Source organism: Homo sapiens, chromosome 3 (genome assembly GCF_000001405.40).
Source record: "Homo sapiens chromosome 3, GRCh38.p14 Primary Assembly".
Classification (NCBI taxonomy): domain Eukaryota; kingdom Metazoa; phylum Chordata; class Mammalia; order Primates; family Hominidae; genus Homo; species Homo sapiens.
The window spans coordinates 97,991,189-98,011,908 of NC_000003.12; the positions used below are offsets into that span (position 1 = coordinate 97,991,189).

At 38.0% G+C, this 20,720-nt stretch overlaps 1 protein-coding gene across 1 annotated transcript in view, besides 2 other annotated features; it reads right to left on the minus strand.

The window, feature by feature from the left end:
- GABRR3 (gamma-aminobutyric acid type A receptor subunit rho3) overlaps positions 1-20,720 on the minus strand; it is a 50,214-nt gene that overhangs the window by 6,087 nt on the left and 23,407 nt on the right. Inside the window, exons 6-9 of the mRNA NM_001105580.3 lie at positions 17,768-17,850; positions 16,576-16,716; positions 10,427-10,579; positions 1,664-1,860 (exon numbers count right to left, since the gene is read on the minus strand). Of these exons, the coding sequence (NP_001099050.1) occupies positions 1,664-1,860; positions 10,427-10,579; positions 16,576-16,716; positions 17,768-17,850 (574 nt within the window). The remainder of the gene's footprint in view (positions 1-1,663; positions 1,861-10,426; positions 10,580-16,575; positions 16,717-17,767; positions 17,851-20,720) is intronic.
- Positions 5,817-6,111: an enhancer, noted in NCBI's record as "tiled region #5379; K562 Activating DNase matched - State 9:DNaseU". NCBI's record gives its function as "activates a minimal TATA promoter and a strong SV40 promoter by Sharpr-MPRA in K562 cells {active_cell/tissue: K562}" and the evidence as "EXISTENCE:reporter gene assay evidence [ECO:0000049][PMID:27701403]".
- Positions 17,785-17,954: an enhancer, noted in NCBI's record as "active region_20129". NCBI's record gives its function as "activates an Ori minimal core promoter by ATAC-STARR-seq in GM12878 lymphoblastoid cells {active_cell/tissue: GM12878}" and the evidence as "EXISTENCE:reporter gene assay evidence [ECO:0000049][PMID:35858748]".

Sequence of the window (20,720 nt, forward strand, 5' to 3'; positions counted from 1 at the left end):
CTCGTATAAAAACAAAATAAAACATGAAGAAAATTCTTTCCCTCCTTACACATTTTTCCTGTCACCTTTCACTTCACAGACTATCCAAATCATTGCTATTCAGTATGGGTAATAGATCAACAGCATCTGCATCACCTAGAGCTTATTAGAAATTCATAGTCTCAGGTCCCACCCCAAACCTCCTGAATTAGAGTTTAACGAGGACCCGGGTGATGCCTACGCACCACTGCCGCATACTGCTCTAACAGCTCCTGGTTTCCTTACACGTGCATAGCACTCACTGTGGGCATGTAAGTGACAGGCAAACATAGTCACATGCTGCTAGCAAAGAAATGAAAGCATCTGCAAGAAAACAAAATCAGCTCTTATTAGAGCTTTGACTCAAAGGATGTAAAATCAAAGGATGAAGTGAGCATTCCAGATCTGAATTGCAACTGCAGTTCTGTTGGCTGAGAATCTGTTGGCAAATCACTTCATTTCACTAGAACTCTGCTTCTTCGTTTATAAAATAGAGATAATAATCTCTGTAAGATCTATACTGGGGGCTGACAGGAAGGTTCGGTGTGAGAAGAGGATATAAAAACATCCTGAAAGTATGAGATGCTCTCAGAAGTAGAAAAAATATTAAATAATGTTTGGTTGCATATAAATCCTCATGTAAAAAAAAACTTAAACCAATATGAATAGATTTCATTGAAGTTATGGGTATATGTGTATAGATATTCTCTACATGGGATGTATATGTATACATATATACTATATGCACATATGTATGTGTGCGTATGTGTGTTTATTCTGTTAAGTGTAGACTAGAAACGAATGACTCTTATCAGTTAAGTTTCTGAAGTACAATATCTTATATAAGTTCTTGTAAAAGCAGGAAACTGGTGCCCAAATCCTCTGTGAAATGAAGCAGGTAGAGAGCAATCTACCTACATTTATTAAACAATGTCACAAAAAACATGGATAACATTTAGAGCCCAGAAGGCACCTCATTCCTAGGATACTGTGGGGGGAAGAACCTCCCTTTATGCTCTACCACTCTCCCGAGTGACAAGAAGAGATATATAAATGCTGGCTCTCGATGGAGAGAAACATATCATTTATTGGTTGAGAGCACACACACAGCCTTTGAAGTTAAGGAGACCCAGAAGCAAAGCCTGATTCCTCTTCAGCTGTGTGACCTTGGCCAAATTACCACCCAGCTGCATTTATTCCACCTCTGTTAAATGAGGGCGATAAAATACTGACCTTGGTGTGAGAGTTCACTGACATAATATGTTACATGGTTGGTATGATGCCAATATATAATAACCCCCCATTACATGTTAGCTATTATTATTATCATCATCATCCATTTGAAAGAATGTGGTTTGTATGTCAACCCCTTTTATTCAAAGGGTACAGTTGGGGGAAAGGAGCATATTGAGAGAAATTTTGCACACACAAAAACTCCTGATGAAGGTGAGTGAGGATAAGAAAACAGCCAGCACAGAGCAGAGGGTAAGGTTCAATGTTAAATTGTCACCATACTGTCAACTTGCCTCTTGACAAGCATATGGACTTAATACAAAGGCTTACAACACTGTCAAGAGAGGGCAATAGATAAGGGTAGTCTTTTCCACATTCCCCAAGGGATCTGATAGTCAGAGCAAGGCTGTACCTTTCCTGTCTTCTTGAATTGTTTCCGCTCTTCCACTGTGGTGAGGTAGTTCACAGCTGCATACTCAATGACTGACAGGAACACAAAGAGGGAGCTGACCCACAGGTACACATCCACAGCCTTGAGGTAGGACACCTGGGGCATGGAGGCGCTCACAGCAGTGATGATTGTGGACATGGTCAGCACTGTGGTGATTCCTGCCATTTGAGAATAGTGGCAAGCTCAGTGATATAGCCATTCATTTCCAGGATCTGGTGCTGAATCACACCAGGGGATGCATTTCTAGAACAATATCAACCTGGTGATCCAAGAGGAGGGAAGGTGTGTGCATGTTGACCAGCTATATATCTTGAGCCTAAACAAACACTCTCACTGGATTTTTCTGTCTCTTTTTCTTGCCCTTACCCTATTATCCAGAAGGTTTCCTTTCCTCCATTTAAAGGCTTCACAGAAAACAGAGTCTGACTTTTCTGTTTTTCACCCTCAGATGGGCCTCTTCTAAGCATGCCAGAAAGGTAAACATGTATTCAATTTAAAAGAGTATTCTAAAATCATTTCCTCTAACCTTTCCCATTCTTTCACAATTTTTACTGTTTATAACCTGTCTTTATGTCTACATTTAATATTTCATGCTTCCGGGGAGCTTATTTCTTCTTGAAAGATCTTTAGTAGCATTCAAGATTGCTATTCTCTATATTATCCTTTCACAGAAAATACTTAAAAAGCCATTGTTATTCTCTTTGTCGATTGTTAATGAAACTACAGTTCCATTGATTCTGAGTATAAGTGTGCTAGTAGGGGTTCAGTTCATTGTAAACACTTACTTAGCAACAACTAAATTCCATTCACATTTTCCCCTTCCACTCTCTTCCCCATTCCCCTCCTTTCTCCTCCCTTCCCTCCCCCTCTTCCCTTTCCTTCTCTTCCCTTCTTCTCCCTTTCTGCTGCCTTCCCCCTTCCCTTTCCTTTTTTCCCCTCTTCCTTTTACTTCTTTGTTCTCTGGCATGATCATCAGAGGTAAGAAGATCAAGGTTCCAGGGGGAAAATGGAGAACGAAGTGACTCTGAGATCTCCTTAATAAAATGCTGGCCATGAGGAGGGCCATTCAATGTCTACACTAATTTCTCAGAGGGATATTGCCAGAGTACCACCTGGAGAGAAAGTATACAATTGTAAATATTTGAAATGTACACTGGCTGGTATGGTTTTATTTCTTAATTTCCCACCAGGGAGGTGCAAATGGAATCGCTAATGATTTTTATAAGTTGTGAGGACATTGTAATGTCAACAGACAGAGTCTCAAACAGCAGGAAGAGCACTGTGATTTACTCCTAAATGTACAGCCACAGCATGTGGACTGCTTTCACCAACACCTTTCTATCCTTTCTGTAATAATTCTGTTAGGCTCTCATCTGAGAGAGCCCCATATCAAACACAATGACAATTCTATAGAGCCATTCTATTTCAAATAAAGTTTTTAGTTTGTATGATCAAGATCAACACAACTTGGCAATTTGACAGTACCATAGGAGGACTTGGAATCTCACCTTCACACTGATTTGAACTCCAGAATAAGAAACCTAAATGCTATTCCAGCTCTTAACATTGAACACAGACCACTGTCTCATCAAGTCCCAGGTTTCCCCCAACAATGGTACTATCAACGATCTGCATATCAGAGGGTGCTGTCTGTATTCCCTGGCTCTAAAACATACTTGCTACGTAAACATGAAGCAAAGAGTGAACATGAAGCATGGAATTTTATTAAGCATGGAATTTTTATTAACATTACAGGTATAGCTGAAGCCAAGATTATTAAATAAAACCTGCTTGCTTTTATCAAATATTTACCTACCACATATCTAGGTAAATAATTAGCCACACATAACAGAAAACAAATAGAAGCTCAGAGTGGCTAAGGGATTCCCCCATATTTTGTCAGAGCAGAGTGCAAATTCTGTTCAGAGTGCAGAATTATGCCAAGAGGCACAAAGAAGACACTGTGGCTTTCCTGTGCCATACTGACATTTTCAGTATGCCAATGTCTTACTCTGTTCAAGATTTCACTGGCAGGAAGTGAAGGAATCATGAACTAATATTCCCACTTAGGTGCTAACCTCATTAATTTGAATTTTTTTTTTTTTGAGATGGAGTTTTGCTCTTGTCCCCCAGGCTGGAGTGCAGTGGCACGATCTCGGCTCACTGCAACCTCCGCCTCCTGGGTTCAAGTGATTCTCCTGCCTCAGCCTCCTGAGTAGCTGGGATTACAGGCATGCACCACCACCTGGGCTAATTTTGTATTTTTAGTAGAGAGGGGGTTTCTCCATGTTGATTAGGCTGGTCTCAAAATCCCAACCTCAGGTGATCTGCCCCCCTTGGCCTCCCAAAATGCTGGGATTACAGGCATGAGCCACCACGCCCAGCTAAAAAATTTTTAATGTCTTCTCTTATTGGTTTTTTAAGATATAAAACATAGAACTTATTTTTTTTTCATTGTGCAGTAATATGGAGCTTAGCGGACAAAATAAGGATTTTAAACAAACACACAAATGTATATGCCTGATTGGTCTCGTCATGTATTTGAAATTGATAACTACTGGGCAAATAAAAAGGAATTGCGCTATCTATATTTGCCAGAAAGCAATAAACTATTAATCATTTTCTTTAAAAGGGTGCTTAATCCAACTAATTGACAATAGCCTTATTTATTTTAAAACCAGCATTCTAAATTTTCCTTCTTTAAGATGAGTAATTAAAAAAAAAAAAGAATTAGAGTGGAGAGGAGGGATTGTTGGGTAGGGGGAGTGAATGATGAGAAAACTGAGATGTAAATTCCTAAAGCAATAGAACTTGAAGTCAGGAGTATTATAGTTACATTAAATACACTTATTATATCTTGCGCCACCCCTCAAAAATACATTAATCTTGACAAATAGTATTCCTTCCAAACCCATTAAAGTTAATATCCCAATAAAGGAGTTTTGAATTATATGAAGCAACCATTTAGTCAAAGGAAGGTCATGTGTTTGGATTAGAAAATTATCTTCCCCACTACTGATGTTGCTACGCATAGTTAGGAAAGTGTTATGAGAAAATATTTAGTCTGACCCTTTGATTCAATTCCCCTGGGCTCTTGCAGCCTCAACATATTAACTTTTTAAAGATGGGGTCTTAAGAACCCTTTAGTCTGGGGGGAATTAATAATCTTTCAGTTTCATTGGCTATTTTTAGTCATGCATGGTGGAGAGTTTTGTTGACTGATATGATAGCAGTAGGGAAGACAGGCACCACTTATGAACCACTGAGTTTCTTCACCCCCTCAGTAACTGTGTTGCAGGTAGTTCTTTTGAAGGGAGGGGGTGTTTATATTCACCTTCAAGTGAGTAAAAATATTTTTCATATAGGCCTAGGCAGAACGAAAATATTACATGATATGAAGGAAAGGAAGGTGGCTTGACATTCCAACATTGCTCTATGACCAGAAACTGACAACCATTTTCTCATGAAGGTGGTACAAATAACTGTCATTAGAAATTCTCATAATCTCTGTGACCATTAAATAAACTGCTCTTATCCAGTTGCCTAAGTATTCACTTTTCCAAGCATATGACATATCCTCTGTTAGGAGATGATTTTTTCTCTGAGAGTGACTACAGGCCTGAAAACTTCGGTTGTCTTCCTCTGCCATATCTGTTTTCCAGTAAAGGAGCCCATTACTTAATTCATTCTGTAGAGAATGGCATACCTCATGTAGAGGGATCAAGCAAGAACGATGGAGGCAAAGAAAGAAGGAGGGAAGTGGAAATGAGAGGAGAAAGTATAATATTTAAATATCCTTGAACAACTTTATAATTGTCTCACACTCTCCACACCAAATTGAATGGAGAGACATAATCATATTTTTGACCCATCACACATTCCAAGTTATGGTAGCTATTATCTCTTATGAGAATTGCCTAATCACAGTGAATACTTTTATGCTATGCACCCTCTACTGCTCTTTACCTGAAACATGGCAAATGTGGGAGGGTCTTCACCAGCAAATGAATCATCCTTTATCATTTCCAGTTAGCAACGAAAAATATGGTGGTCTAAACACTGGCAACTTAACAACTACGTACTGAATATGAACTATGTGCAGGAGGACACTGTGCTACTCGCTGAAGGAACAACAACAACAACAAAATGGTAATAGTGGTCCTAGTCCTTAAGGAGCTCACATTCTAATAGAGGTCAAAAGATAAGCCACTCCTGTCCCACAGCAAAACATGAAATAGAGGAAGTAAGCTACTTAGGAGATACAGAAAATGCCACGTGTTCAAAGATGAGAGAGACCATGTGTGCTTGGAGTCATCACTGAAGGCTTTCGGCCATGTAGAGATGGCAAGATTTTGACAGAGAAACACAGGTGGGGAGGAGGAGCCAATCATAATGCCGAAGGACACAATTCCAGATTCCATAATTCCAAAGGCTGAAATCCCAAAAGATCAAAATCTCTAAAGTCTAAAATTCTAAAAATCACAGTCTTGAAAGATCAAAATACTGAAAATATTGTTCTAAAAATAATTTTGAAAAATTTAAAAGCTATTTATTTATATTTTAAAAAGGTAATTTATTTAAGAAACATAAAAAAAGACATAACACTTCATAAGCCACTTTACACAGTAAAATAAGGCAATAATAACACATATTTCTGTAAGCATAAACACTCAGGTATACTAACAACAGTTGCACAGGCATAACAGTTATGAGCAGATGAATCATATTGATACAGAAATAGGTCAAAAGGGAAACATATAAATGCATATCACTATGGTGGGTCATTGTGGGCACCCAGCTTTATAACTGTGGTCATCTGAAACACCGTGATGAACAACTTAAGTCTTTTGAGGATCGATCAAAAACCATGATGGTCACCACCACATATGCAGTCACACAAAGAGCTGAGATCTCATGAAATTTTATATTTCACAAATGCAGATGTACAAAAAGGACATGTCTTCATTTATTGAGAAAGTTTCAACATTTTTACATACATGCACAATACTTACACACAAATTTAATGTGATAATGCACTTTCATGGAGCTAAATTTGCAAAAATGCATAATACAAATTAGAACTCTCTAACAGTCTAACTTCTTTATATCTCCACTACTAGAAATGATGCAAAGATGAAATACATAGCATAGCCAATTATAATATAATTCTGACAATTAAAAATAGTAAAAAAAAAACTTAAGAAAAACAGACCAAAAATCAAAAAGAAAATTTCATATATGAAAGTGTATTACAGTGATAGGTTATAGGCAATTGCATGAAGATAGTGCATAGTAACTGGCCTAACATGATGTAATTATCCTGTGATTGTGATTTTTGAGATTTTAGACTTGAGGGATTTAGACTTTAGGGATTTTGATCTTTCAGGATTTCAACATTCAGGATTATGGCATTTGGTATTGTGTCTTTTGAGATTATGATCCAAACCAGTATAATGAATTATATAAACATTTGGAAGATCTCTGTAACTCAGTGAACCAATGTTTTCCAAATGACCAATGCATCAGTGAAAAGTCTATTCAAAGTATGAGATAGACCAATGGATTGTAATCAAAAGTATAAGATAGACCAATGGATTGTAATCTAACAGAGTAGAAAATATTTGTTTCAGATAGCACATTGCAATTAAACTTTAAGGGATTATCACTTGCTGAGTTTTGGTGTAATGTGAAGGGAGGCTATCCACAATTATCTGGAAAGACTATTAAAATACTACTCCCTTTTCAAACTATGTATCTGATGAGGTCAGATTTCTCCCTGTATTTCAACCAAAACCTATTGCAATAGACTGAATGAAGAAACAGAGATAAGAATCCAGCTGCCCTCTATAAAGGTAGACATTAAATATTTGCAAAAATGTTTAAAAATGCCACTCTTCCTACTAAATGTTTTTGTTTTAGAAAAAATAATTATGCTTCATACAATGTTACCATGTTAACTTGTAATGAATTGATTATTCCTAGTTTTAAGTGAATTAATACATATTTTCAAATTCTATTTTAACATCTAATATGGCTAATAATGATAGACACGACCCACAGCAACAAAAGCTCTCTAGTGTCCTCATTAGTTTTTAAGAGTGTAAATGGGTCCTAAGGCCATAGTTTGAGAATCACTGCCAAAGATTAAGAAGGAAATTGAGGTTTCAGATATGAAAGGCTCAACAAACTGGGAGGCCCCGAACAGAATGAGGAAAAGTGAAGAGAATAAGTGGCTTCCCTGCTAACCCATTAAAGTAAGTTATTATTAAGACACCAACAGTATAATGTGAATTAGTTTGAAGGTTCTTTTTTTTCCGTGATGTAAGGGTTTGTCACGAAAAGCTAAATGAGCTTGGGTAATGCATGGGAGTGTACCTAGAAAGGGAAAAGATAAGATTTAAAAGTGAGGATATTTATGCTTCATACTTTCACTCTCTTTCCTTACTATCATCCAGCTACAGGTCTGTTGGCACATGCTTCATCCCTGAAGTCTGGGTTCCCAAGGAAAGACTCGGTTCTAAACAGGCTGAACGCTTGTAGTATCTGAAGGTGAAGTCCAGTATACAACTGAAAGTACCCAAATGGAACATGCTTACATACGGACAGTAGTTGGAATTAAAAAGTTTGTTCCATTTGATAAGAGTCAAAAGTGAGCAGATCCTTGGGAGGGAGTTACTCATACTTAAGGAGTGGAAGAAAAAGCAGGAAAGAGAAAAGGAAAAAAAAGTCTTTGGGAGTAGAAAAAAACTAGACTAGCGGAGAGTATTGAAAGCTAATGCATTGTGTGTGTAGTTGGTTTCATCCAACACTATGGGCCAGGCATCAAGCTAGGCAGTTGACATGATGAAATTAATTAATTCTCCCATTTAATTCTCATAGTGACCTTTAGGAGGTAGTATGAATAATTTCATTTTGCAGATGAGGAAGATGAGGCTGGAACTCTTGACCACTAAAGTTGGTCCTAGATTTGGAGAGGATGCCTAATAATGTCAAATGCTGTGGAGAAGGTGAAGGAAGGAGGCAGAAGAGAAAAGGTAATTGGGACAGATGAATAGGTATTCATAGGGACCTTCCAGAGAATTGGGCAGCTAAGCATTTGCAAAGAGCTAGGGAAGAAGAGGGCAAATTATCTTTGAAAAAAAAGTGAGGGTGGTAGGAAGCAAATCCTGAGAAGGTAACAGTTTTATAGGAATACTACTGTTCTCTTAAAATAATTTTTTTAAAAAGTGGGAGAGGGACACTTCTGATTTGCATGCATTTTACATAAATCTGCATAGCAATTTCCTAACCCTAAGGGATCAGATGTGGTTGCAAGAAGCAGAGAATTTCAAGGATGTCTTAAAAGTGTTTTAGTGTTCCCAATTCACTCCACCCTTCCATGGAAGTAGCTCTTATTGCTGTCATTTTCACAGTATAAGAGCAGAGCAGTCAACTTCAGAAATATGACTGAAAATCATGTTCATAAACGTTTATAGACTGAGTGCTTTCCTCATTGTGTCTAGAGGGCTGGAAATGTGCCCTTGGTCTTGTATTTGGGTCTATGCTGCCACACTGCAGTACTGAGGTTAGGGCACATGCTCTGATGTGAAGAAACAGTTCAAATAATTTAATTACTTATTCAGATGGTATTTTTTCCTTGAAGATATTCAAGTCTCAAATGCTTGTAGATTGAATATTTTAATAGGGAAAGGAGGTGAGCAAATTGTTAATATTAATAATTTATGTCTTTCAAATGATCTTTTGAAGTATGCATATAATTTGTGAACATTAACTTACAAACCACCCTTTCTGGAATGAATTGTGTGATAATTACAATAATTGTAACAATGATTGTAATAATAACAATCTCCTCTCTAGATAGAGCACTACAAATGAAAGAGCAAAATCAGATAAAATGAGGGGGATCAGCCCTGACCAGCAAAAAAGGCAAGTGGGATTATCTCTTGGGTTCTCATTAAGTAACATGTCATCTAAGTGCTTAGCTTGGTATCTTCTACTTTCTAAGATCTCAATAACTGCTAAGTGGGTCTGAAATGGTTCCCATAAATCAGTGTGTGTGACAGAGGCATATAGCATGTTAGACGGTGTAGATAATCAACCCTGTGTAGTGACTTAATGAGGCTGGCAACGTCTCTCCACCTAAAATCTCCTGCCAACTAATATGCCACTGTACCTGAAATTCCACTGTGGTTGATTCTGATTTTGGTCTTTTAGTTAAGTCCTAATTTCTAATCAGTATTCATATTTTCAAATTCAAGCATCCCTTCCACATTCTTGTTAACCCACCAAGGTAATTTGTTATTAATACACTAAGAGTATAGTGTGAATTAGTTTGAAGGTTTTCCTTTCTGTGATGTAAGGGTTTGTCCTGAAAAGCTAAATGGACTTGTATAAAGCATGGGGAGGTTTTCTTAAAAAAGAAAAGAGATAAGCTTTAAAAGTGAGGCTGTTTATGCTTCATAATTTCACCCCCTTTCTTTACTATCACCCAACTGCAGGTCAGTCAGCAAAGACTTCATCCCTAAAATCCGGGTTCCCAAGGAAAGAACTCAATTACAATTTGCCCTTGAGGATGTCAAGATCGATACTGCAACCTGGATGTTCATCTCTGACTATCCCTACTAAACCACCACTCTCTTTTCCTCTCCATGTATGACCCATTTTATTTACCTCCCTTGAACTTTCTCCCATGTTAACATTTTATAAAGATGGGGAAAGATTTACCCAGGGAAACTCTTGCAGGAACAGCTCTTCGGTCAATCCAAAATGAAACCCATGAAAGCATCACCATCAATATGGCTGGGAAATAGGTTTGCAGCACAAAGAAGAAAACATGCCTCCTTAGCACAAAGTTGATGAAAAGCCTATTGTACCAACCTGTGGAAAAAAGCCAAAGTTTTCATTAGAGCAAGCTTCCCCTTAGAAACACTGCACTTAGTGAAATGACCTGCTTCTTTAGACTCCAAGCTCTTGGGGACACGGAATTTGACAAACTCATCTCCATTTAGTTGGGCCTGGCACTCCATCAACATTTGTTCAACCAGCTGAACTGCAGTCTGCTTAATTATTTGACTCAAAGATCCCCTTTAACTTCCAAACCCGCAGTTCAGGGATGAATAGTGGTTATCTTTTGTGGGATGGCCTCTAAAGATCTGTCTCCACAATATATTGTATTGTGGCGTTTCTGCAAGAGGGAAAGTCTTCAATACATGACTAATAATGGCATAAAAGAACCAATAAACCATTTATTAGCTATAACAAATGAAAAAAACATTTAACTGAATGAAAAGATTCAGAGTATGTACTAGGTCATTGGATTTTGACCTGAGATGGAGACAGCTGGGGATTCAAAGGAGAAAGAAAACAGCATCCATAAGCTAGTTTTACAATTTTAAAGTCTCACAAGTACCATAATTTGTGCATGATGAATCTGCAAAAAAGTAACCAACTGATGTTTCTTTGCTTCCTATTGAAATTATATAAACTCACGTTGGTAATATTAACTGCGCTAATTAAAAGCACCATTTGTGGTGACATCCACACACACATTTTGTTCAGGTTTACCTCTCCCATTGACTACAAGGAAGTTTAAAGCCAAATTTTCAGACATCTACAGGACTTCTCTGAGCACCATTCTTTAATGACCACATACACATACCAGGATATATATAATACCTTATCCTTGTTTTTCTTTTTTTTCTCATACATTTCTAATTTATATTACCTTGCTTTATTTCACAATAACTATGTGCTAATCTTGTTAAATCTTTACTAAAATAAGGCAATACATGAGGAAACATGGAAATACATCTTTTCTGAATAAGTAGCAAGATTTTTTTTCTATGATAAATGCTGTTTATTTTCAAATAACATTATTCAAAACACAGGGACTATAGGTCAAAAGTTATAAAATAAAAATCATAGGTATTGCAGAGTTGGAAAACCCTTCTGCTAGTCTCAGCAGTAATTTCTTAGAAACCCAAGACGGCAAACCTATTAGATGGATCACTTAAGTACTTAGGCATTTGGCCTAAGAAATACACCTGGCCAACCCACACTGAACTGGCAGACTCTACTCTTAGAATCCTATTCTCAATGAAATACTCATTATCTTTTTCTTCCTTACCTAGTTCTAAGCTTCTAACAGTCAGTTTATATATGTTCAGGAATACCAAACAATTTTATTACCAGGAGTAATAAAATATACATCACATAGTACATTATAAAGTTAAAATATAAATTATTTTTAAGCTTCTCATTGTCTTGTATCACCTACATCACAGCCCCAATTTATTACTGTGTACCACTGAGAGTTTCAGTGATGGCTGTAGAGTACAATAACAGCTTTCTGACCTTACAACTTTATATAACTACTGTGAGGTTAAAAGAAATAAGGAAAACCTGTGAAAGAAATTCAAAAGAAAGACAGTATTAAGGTATATAGTTTTCTGTTCATTATTAACTTGAAATAAAATTAGTTAACTGCATCCTTTCTTTATTCATAATTTTCTGAAGAACAGTTGTCCTTTTTTTTTTTTTTTGGTGGGGTGGGGGCAGGGTGGAGTAACCAGGAAGTCAAACTGTGGCTCTGTCTTGTGGTTTTAGACTAGGGGTGGTATTTTAGTTGAACCTGCAGGTCATGGGGAGTCCATTTCCCTATCAGGAAAGGTGGTGCTGCCTTGGAACGTTGTGAAGCCTTCATTTTGGGTAGTACAATAAAAAGTCTGATTCTATTTTTGATGTTTGACTGCTAAAAGCTCTCAAGCCCAACTTCTCCTTCTGCCCTACATCTGAGCAAGTTAATAAAAAGCCTAGGTCTCTTTTTGGCACCTGTGAAAAGTTCAAACCATGCATCTTGTCCTACGACAGGCAGCCTTCACCCTAGCTGCACCCCCTAGCTACCATAAAAACCCAAGCCAGTAGCCCCTTCCTGTTTTCTCAAGCCATTTTTCATTTCAGACCTGCTTGGGAGCCTGCCCATCTCTCTCTAGAAAGCCTCATTATGTAAGTAATAAATCACTTCATACCCTTTTGTCATGTGTATGGCATCATCAGTTTTGGCATCTGAACTAAATTTTGGATGGGGACGGGTACATCTGCCTCCATTAGTTTGCCATACAGTAGAAAGAAGAGGAGTTAATAACAGAGAGAAAAAGGCTAGAGAGTTGGCACCCAGGGAAATGGAGGACTGGGCCAGTATTTGGGGAGTCAGTCCCAAGACAAGAATAAAGAAGGTTTTTATACCTAGAGACAGTCACCTTCAATGGCCCTTTGAAAGTAGGCCTTAATACTCTCTATGAAAAGGATCAAAATAATGTGGATGAAAATAGGGTGATGATGACAGCTACTAACTAATATTTATTGAGCCTCTATTATATGGCAGATAACATTCTAAGGTACTTAACTATATGACATCATGTATCCTCACAACCCTATGATATAGAGAGTATTATGAAACCCATTTAAAGATGAGAAAGTTAAGGGTTAGAGAGATTAAGCAACTTGTCCAAGGTCAGGTTGCTAATAAATGATAGAGACAGGGTTTGAACTTAGGCAGTCTGTTTCTACTACTTACACATTCAGCCATTAGATTATGCTATGATAAAGAATAATTATTCAATGCATCCCTTAGGGGCAGGAGTCATTTCTTTTTTCTTTGTAAATTTATAGTGCATGATTTTGAGAATTTTGAGAAAGGGATCAGGAGGCAGAAGCCCTCATCTGCTTGTTAATATTGCCAGGTCGTGGTGATTTTTGAACAGTGGCAACGGTAGTGGTGAAGGCCAAGAAAAAAAAAAAAACACCCTGTTGTTCAGCTGTAAAATGGAAACTAAGGTCCTATAACTATATTTCTGACTCTTATAGCCAGAGTCAGATGTATAGTTTTTCTATACACCTGGGAGTGGTGGTTGTGGCTGGTAGTTGTAAGGATAGGAGTGAAGAAAACAAATCAAAAATTATTTTTGAGGAAGCTAAAATATTTAAACAGGAAACTAGTCTGAAAAAGACACTTGAGTTTGTCAGAAGATTATGTTTAATGATTCGTGGATAATGTGAGGCAGAGCTATCACATGCTCATGAACTAAAATAAGTTTCTAAATGTAATCTTTCCGAAACCTAACTAAGGGATGGTTAAATGAACCCAGATATGATTATTGATTTGATATTTGAATACAACTTCCAAAATGCCTCCCTTCGGCATTTTTCCTACCAATCTCTGTCATTAAAAAAAATGGGTATATTGTAACAAATTAAAAAATACAAGTGTTTTTTGTACCTACTTCTCAGAGGTATCTATTGTTAATCTTTCTAGGCTTTTAACACACACACACACACACACACACACACACACGATATGCACAGATATGTATATAAGCACTCATGCACTCATAAATATGTATACATACATTCTTCAATAACAAATATGGGATTTTTAAAATATATTCTTCCGTAACTTGCTTTTAAAGAATATTAATGTATTATGGATAAGTCTCCTTCTCATGTTACACAAAGCATGTACATTTGAACCTAATTCTAATTTTTTTTCATTTTTCTTAGGAACCAAAATGATATTTCTTAAAAATGTAACTACCTTTGAACGTTAAAGATTTGTAAGTTCATTTTAAAATGCAAGCATCTTTGTAAGCAGTAAGTTTTTCCATGCCAGTATTTTCCTGGCTTTAGAGAGATTCTAAAACATGACCAGAAAAAGATATAAATCAGCTAGTGTTGTAGCTGCCTGGTAGGGCTCAAAAAGTCTGACAAGCACAAATAAAATTATGGTAGAGCAAATGGAATGATTTAGTGGTAAAGTTAGAATTTTGAAGTGAAATTTAACTTCCTGTTAGGAGGACGGTTGGATATATGTTAATGGATAGTTGTGCTTCAAAAGCTAAAGAAATGCCATAATTATTGTATATTTTGCATATGTTCTGTGCATGAGACAATTCTTTTTGATTTCTATGCTTCATATATATTACATTATATTAGCATTAAATGTTGCAAATATCTATTTACAATTTATCATATGCCAAAGTTATTTTTCATTTTAGCAATAGTAAAATGAAAACACATCCTATAAATTATACTTCACATATACCATGCTTCATTGCATACATTCTTTTATTTAAATATTAATTTAATTTAGGATTAAGTAAGAACATTAAAAATCCTGATAAATATATGCCTATATTTATTCATATAGAGAAAGACAAACCGAGAAAAGGAGGAGAAGAAGGAGGAGCAGAAAAATATATCAAAATAATAATATAGTTTATCTCTATGAGGTAGGATTACAAAGAGATTTTCCTTTAAATTTTTCTGAGGTCTCTTCAAATTATCTAACATTTATTCATTCATTCAATAATTAGCCTTTGAGCATCTACTATGAGCCAGGGATATATCAGTGATCAAAACAAATAAATATGTGCTACTTACATAATCAGAAAAGGCAATAAACATGATTAAAATTGAGAGCATCATTTGCTGAATCCCAAGCAATGTAGACAAATAATGGAGTGAAATAGAGAATTTCTTCTGGGTCTAAATAGATAAATAGCTGTTGTTCCTAGAGAATCATTTAACTTCTCTGCAATGTCAACTTCTACTTCTCTCTTAAAGCTGCAGGTTTTAGATACAAACTTGATAACTACTCTCCAAGATCTGAGAACAGAGTGGAGAATCTTTGAGGAGAAGAGACACCACTATCAAGGCAGAGTAGGTAAAGCATTCTAGCCAGGACAGCTCTGAAACTCAGGGACAGCTGTTGGCACACTTTCTGGCTGGCCTAAGCATGGCTGCATTGAATCTGAAGTGGCATTTTATATGGATTCGGCCTAAAATAACCCAGAATATTAATATCCAGAAGGGGAATGATAGTGGAGGGTGAGGAGGGCAGAGGGGAACCGAAGGAGGCTGCTTCCAACTTTAGTCAATGGGGATCACATATAACTTTAAAAGGTGTCTTGGATAAAAGTTGTCAATTCAGAAATATATCTGTCATAGTAAAGAGTACTATATAGGCCCAATTTTGGATAGGTTTTCTGTTTGGGGCAATGATGCACTTTATGGATGGATTCATTCAGCTGATTTTTATTGAGCATCTGTCACGTGCCAAGAACATTCCAGGTGCTGCAGAAGAAATGGTGAGCAAGGCAGACAGATTCCCCACCCTTTTCCTGGTGAGGCACTCACACAACAAAGCAGTCAAATAAACGCATAGTTCAGGTGATGGTAAGTGCTGTGATGACCGAGATAGGGAACGGTGAGAAAGGAAGCCTGTTTTACACGGGGTTGGTTTGGTTAGGAAAGCACTGTTTGAGAAGCTATTTGAACAAAGCTCTGACTGAAATGAGGGAGAAGGGCATGAGAATATTGGGGGAAAGCACCCCAGGCAGAGGGAGGACAAGGCCAAGCAGAGGCCCTGTAGATGGAATGAGGCAGGCAAGCAAAAACGCCAGTGTCGGGAGAGTAGCAGGTGGTGAGGGGCAGAGGAAGTGGGTGAGTCCCACATTAGGCAGGAGACTGATCACGTTGAGAAACTTCAATTTGTTGTAAATGTGATGGAAAGACACTGGAAAGTTTAGAACAGGAAAGAATTGTGAACTTTATGTTCCAAAGAGATTACTCTGTCTGCTGTATTGAGACTGGAGAAGTCAAGAATGGAAGCAAGGCATCTAGTTAGAGGTGGCTGCATGAGTGGGAAAGAAACGATGTATGGAAGGGTGGAGCTTGCTCCCTGTAAAAGGAGAGGAATGATGGTGCTGGCCAAAGGGGACACTCGCTTGGATTCCGGTCTTTTCGCATGTTGTGGTGCTTTGCAAACAGTAGATGTCCAATAAATGCTGATGAATCACCCATGTAAAATGCTGTACCTGTGCTGCTATAGAAAGCTAATCCACTAGATGCACTGAAGTCTTCAATGAAGAACTGAGAAAGGGACATATGTTCTTCAGTATTTAAGGACTTGTTTCCGTGTTTCCAGTATAGCATTAGGTCATCCTCATTGTAGGCATCTAAAACATGAAAATATCAGTCTTGTAAGTGTAATAAGCTCTTGTAAGCTCAATGAGTTCTATAACCATGTCTTATGTGGCTCTGTATCCTTAGTGCCTACTCCAATGACATGTACATATTAGGTGATAAAAATATGTTTGCCAATGGACTGATCATACACACACTTTTAGGAGGAGGAAAAAGAATCTCTAAAAGTTAGACCCTGATGACTAGTATAGTATGGATCTTGTGCCCACACAATGAATTGAAACTCCCCAGATAGCTGCTCCCATATTTGTGTACATTCTCTTAGAGTGTTAAGCCAGGCCTCAGAGTGACACCATAGCATCCCCTCACTGTCACAGGCCTGACTCCAGGCTGTTAGTCCCCATTTGTTTTTAGTTTCCTTGGATGAAATTCCAAAATGGGCCAATCTTACAAGAAATTTTCTAAAGTCAAATAGTGGTATGGAAAATTTCTAATGGAGTTAGGGCGGAGCATCTGTGGAGTAGACATCTGGTGAGATTCCCAGCATTTTAGACACATTTGCAAAAACTGCAGTCAGCTTTTAAGATCTTCTATCAAAAATAGCTGATTGGTAAAAGTGATTGACAGCTCAGATGCCCTGTGATGGGGCTTTGATTAGGGGGTCTATGTCTAGAGTCAGATTTTTCTAGGGAATCCAAGTCTACTTAATGGAGGATTGTGATTCATCTGGGAACGTGAATTCCAGAGCTTTCCAAATGTAGAAAGTCTGTGTCAGTCTATGTAACAACAGTAGCAAGAATAGACTTTTTAGGGAGCTGTTCCTTTATTGTGGAAACTACAGAATATGCAATTATCAAAACACTTTTCCCCTGAACCTTCTCCTTTAACAGACAAACTGCCATCAACCTTCATAAAAAACAGAAACCAAAAAAAAAAAAAAAAAAAAGAAGCCACAATTGTTTCAGTTTTGGATAAATATATCAGTATTTTAAAATGTTTGTTAAGAGCATGCTTATTTACATGTAAGTATGTGATGGTGTGTTCAAATGATGTGCACTCACTCCACCAGGAAGTGAGACTTACAGCTTTCCAGTTCAAGAGAACAATTTTGAGTGTCAAGAGGAAACCTGCTGAAATCCATAAAGCACATGGCCGAAACCGTTATCCTATAAAAAGAATGAGAAAAAGAAAACTGCAGATCATTTAACCATCTGGCCAAATGAGCATGCAACATTGAAGCTTTCTTACTGTTTGCTGGTTCTGTGTGTCTTTCAAGAATAATGCAAAACAGGCAGTATTATCTTCTGTCCAAATGACATGCAAGGAAGCAAACTCAGGAGGGTAGATGATTTTCTTAAGACACAGAGTCAATGAGTGAATTCAGCTCTCATACCTTGCTTCTGAGTTCACCATTTCCTGATCAGCCCCCTCAGTATTTTCTGGCTCTGATGTCTCCAGAAAAACACTCTTCAAAGTGAGAGACTTTTAAATAGATTTAAATATTTTTTGCTTTCTGGAAGATCCACACATAAATAGTCTGTAGTAACAAAGGGTTGGAATGGTGGCAATAAAAACCTGAAGTTAAAGGTTTCCTTCACAAAGCAAGTTTACCCGAGGATATTCTCTTTCCAGTAGTGAGTGAAAAGCCTGGAGCATTCTTAGTTATAGATCTATGTGCACAATGCATAATTCAGGTACTATTAAGCCAAAAGGCTTGCATACTGATGAGAACGGTTTTTTCAAATTTTATATCCTCCTAGATTTTCCTGGCTTCAGGCAGAGGCTGCTGTACTATGATCTTGCCTCAAAGTAGAAACTTTGGTACCCACAATAGCAGATCAGAGGTTCATAAAGGGCCCCTGAGCAGGTTTGCAAAAAACAAAGGCAACAGATGCTCCTACCTGTGGTGCCCTTGAGTTAACCAGAGGAGTAGGGACATTTTGTCTGCTGTGGGCTAATTCTATTGTCAATAGTCATGCAACAAAACATCAAGCCAAGGATTCATTTTGGTGTATTCCTAGTACTTTAAACCTAGAAAGGACCCTCCGAGGTGTTTCAGTTCATTTCCTTCATAGTACATGTGAGTGACTTAATGACCAAAGAGGCTAGGTGGCTAGGTAGTGTCAGAACCAAGCTGGAACCAGGGGATCTGGCTCTGGGCTTGGATTGGCTCTGCTGTTGGCTGGAAGAGCTGTGCTGACAACAATTTTGAGTTCCTCCTGTGTTAGAGGATCTCCAAGATCACTCTCAGGGTCAGAGATTCACTAGAATGACTCGCAGAACCCAGCAAAGCTGTTGTACTCTTGGTTACCTATATTATAATGAAAGGACACAGATGAAAATCAACAGTAGAAAAGAGGCACAGGGCAGAGTCCAGGAGAGACCAGGAACACATTTCCAGTTGTCCTCTCCTAATGGAGTTATGTGGATGGCGCTTAATTCTCTCAGCAATGATATGTGCCAACACCCTGGGGACATTATCAACTAAGGAAGCTCACCCAAGCCTTGGTATCTACACTTTCAACTGAGAGTAGCCACATAGTAATGACTGACCACCCACATGGCTGACCTTAGTCTCCAGCCCCCTCCAGAGGTCAAGCTGATATCTAGTAGCTCAAAGTCTCCACCGTAAATCACATTGTTAGCAGAAACCATCTGGCTTGGCCCCCGGACCCAAAGTAAACAAAGATACTCTCATCACTTAGGATATTCCAAGGGGTTAGAGGTTACCCTGCAAGAGCCTGGCTAGGGCCAAATATTTCCTGGAATGTGCAGGGTAAGAAAAATCCACTGAGTTAATTATTTACTGGACCTCCCCCCACCAAAATTAATTTAAAACAATTGATTCTTTGTCCAGATAGTGTCGTTCTGCTCCTGATTCCTGTTGAGACTTGACTCCAGTATGTATGAGTCCTATGCTACTCCTGACTTAAAAGTCCTATTGAGGCCAGGCACCATGGCTCACACCTGTAACGCCAGTACTTTGGGGGGCCGAGGCGGGCAGATCATTTGAGGTCAGGAGTTCGAGACCAGCCTGGCAAACATGGTGAAACCTTGTCTCTACTAAAAATAGAAAAATTAGCTGGGCATGGTGGCAGGCACCTGTGACCCCAGCTACTCAGGAGGCTGAGGCAGGAGAATCGCTTGAACCCAGAAGGCAGAGGCTGCAGTGAGCTGAGATTGTGCCACTGCACCCCAGCCTGGGTGACACAGTGAGGCCCTGTTCCTCCCCCAACCCCCCCAAAAAACCCATTGAAAGTGATATTTTCCTTTAATTGCATTTTAAGAACATTGACAGCACTTATAAAATGCCTGGCAACAGCTCTGTGCCGAAGTGGTTAAGGTATTTTTAACGAGCAAAAATAATCTGTATGAGTTTCCTACTGCTGCTGTAACAAATTACTACAAATCTGGTGGTTTAATACAACAGAAATTTATTCTCTCACAGATTTGGAGGCCAGAACTCTGAAATCAGTATCATGGAGCTGAAATCAAAGTGTCATAAAGGCCCTTCACTCTTAGCTCTAGGGGGAAAATCCATGTGTCCTATAGCTTCTGGTGGCTGCCAACATTCCTTGACTTATGACCACATTGCCTACTCTTCTTTTGTATGCATGAAATTGTCCTCTACCTTTCTATTATAAGCATACTTTTGATTGCATTTAAGTCCCAACCAGATAATCCAGATAATTTCTTCCCTATTTCAAGATCCTTAACTTAATCACGTCTGCAAGGATTTTTTTTTCTTTTTTGGTCATATATGATAAGCTTCACAGGTTCCAGGAATTAGGACATGGATATCTTTTGGGGTATCATTTCTTCACCCTACTTTAGAATTTTTCTAAGGTTTGTAGGACATTAAAAAAAGCTGAGTTGCTTGGGTTTACCAAACATTTTTAGAATTATCCATGATAAGCCACTCAATATGCACAGAACTCATTTGACTAAAAGAAAATATGGAACATTAAAAAGGGAGGACTGTTATAGCAAAGTGTTGGAATGCACATTTTAAAATTAAAAGAAAAGAAAAAGAGAG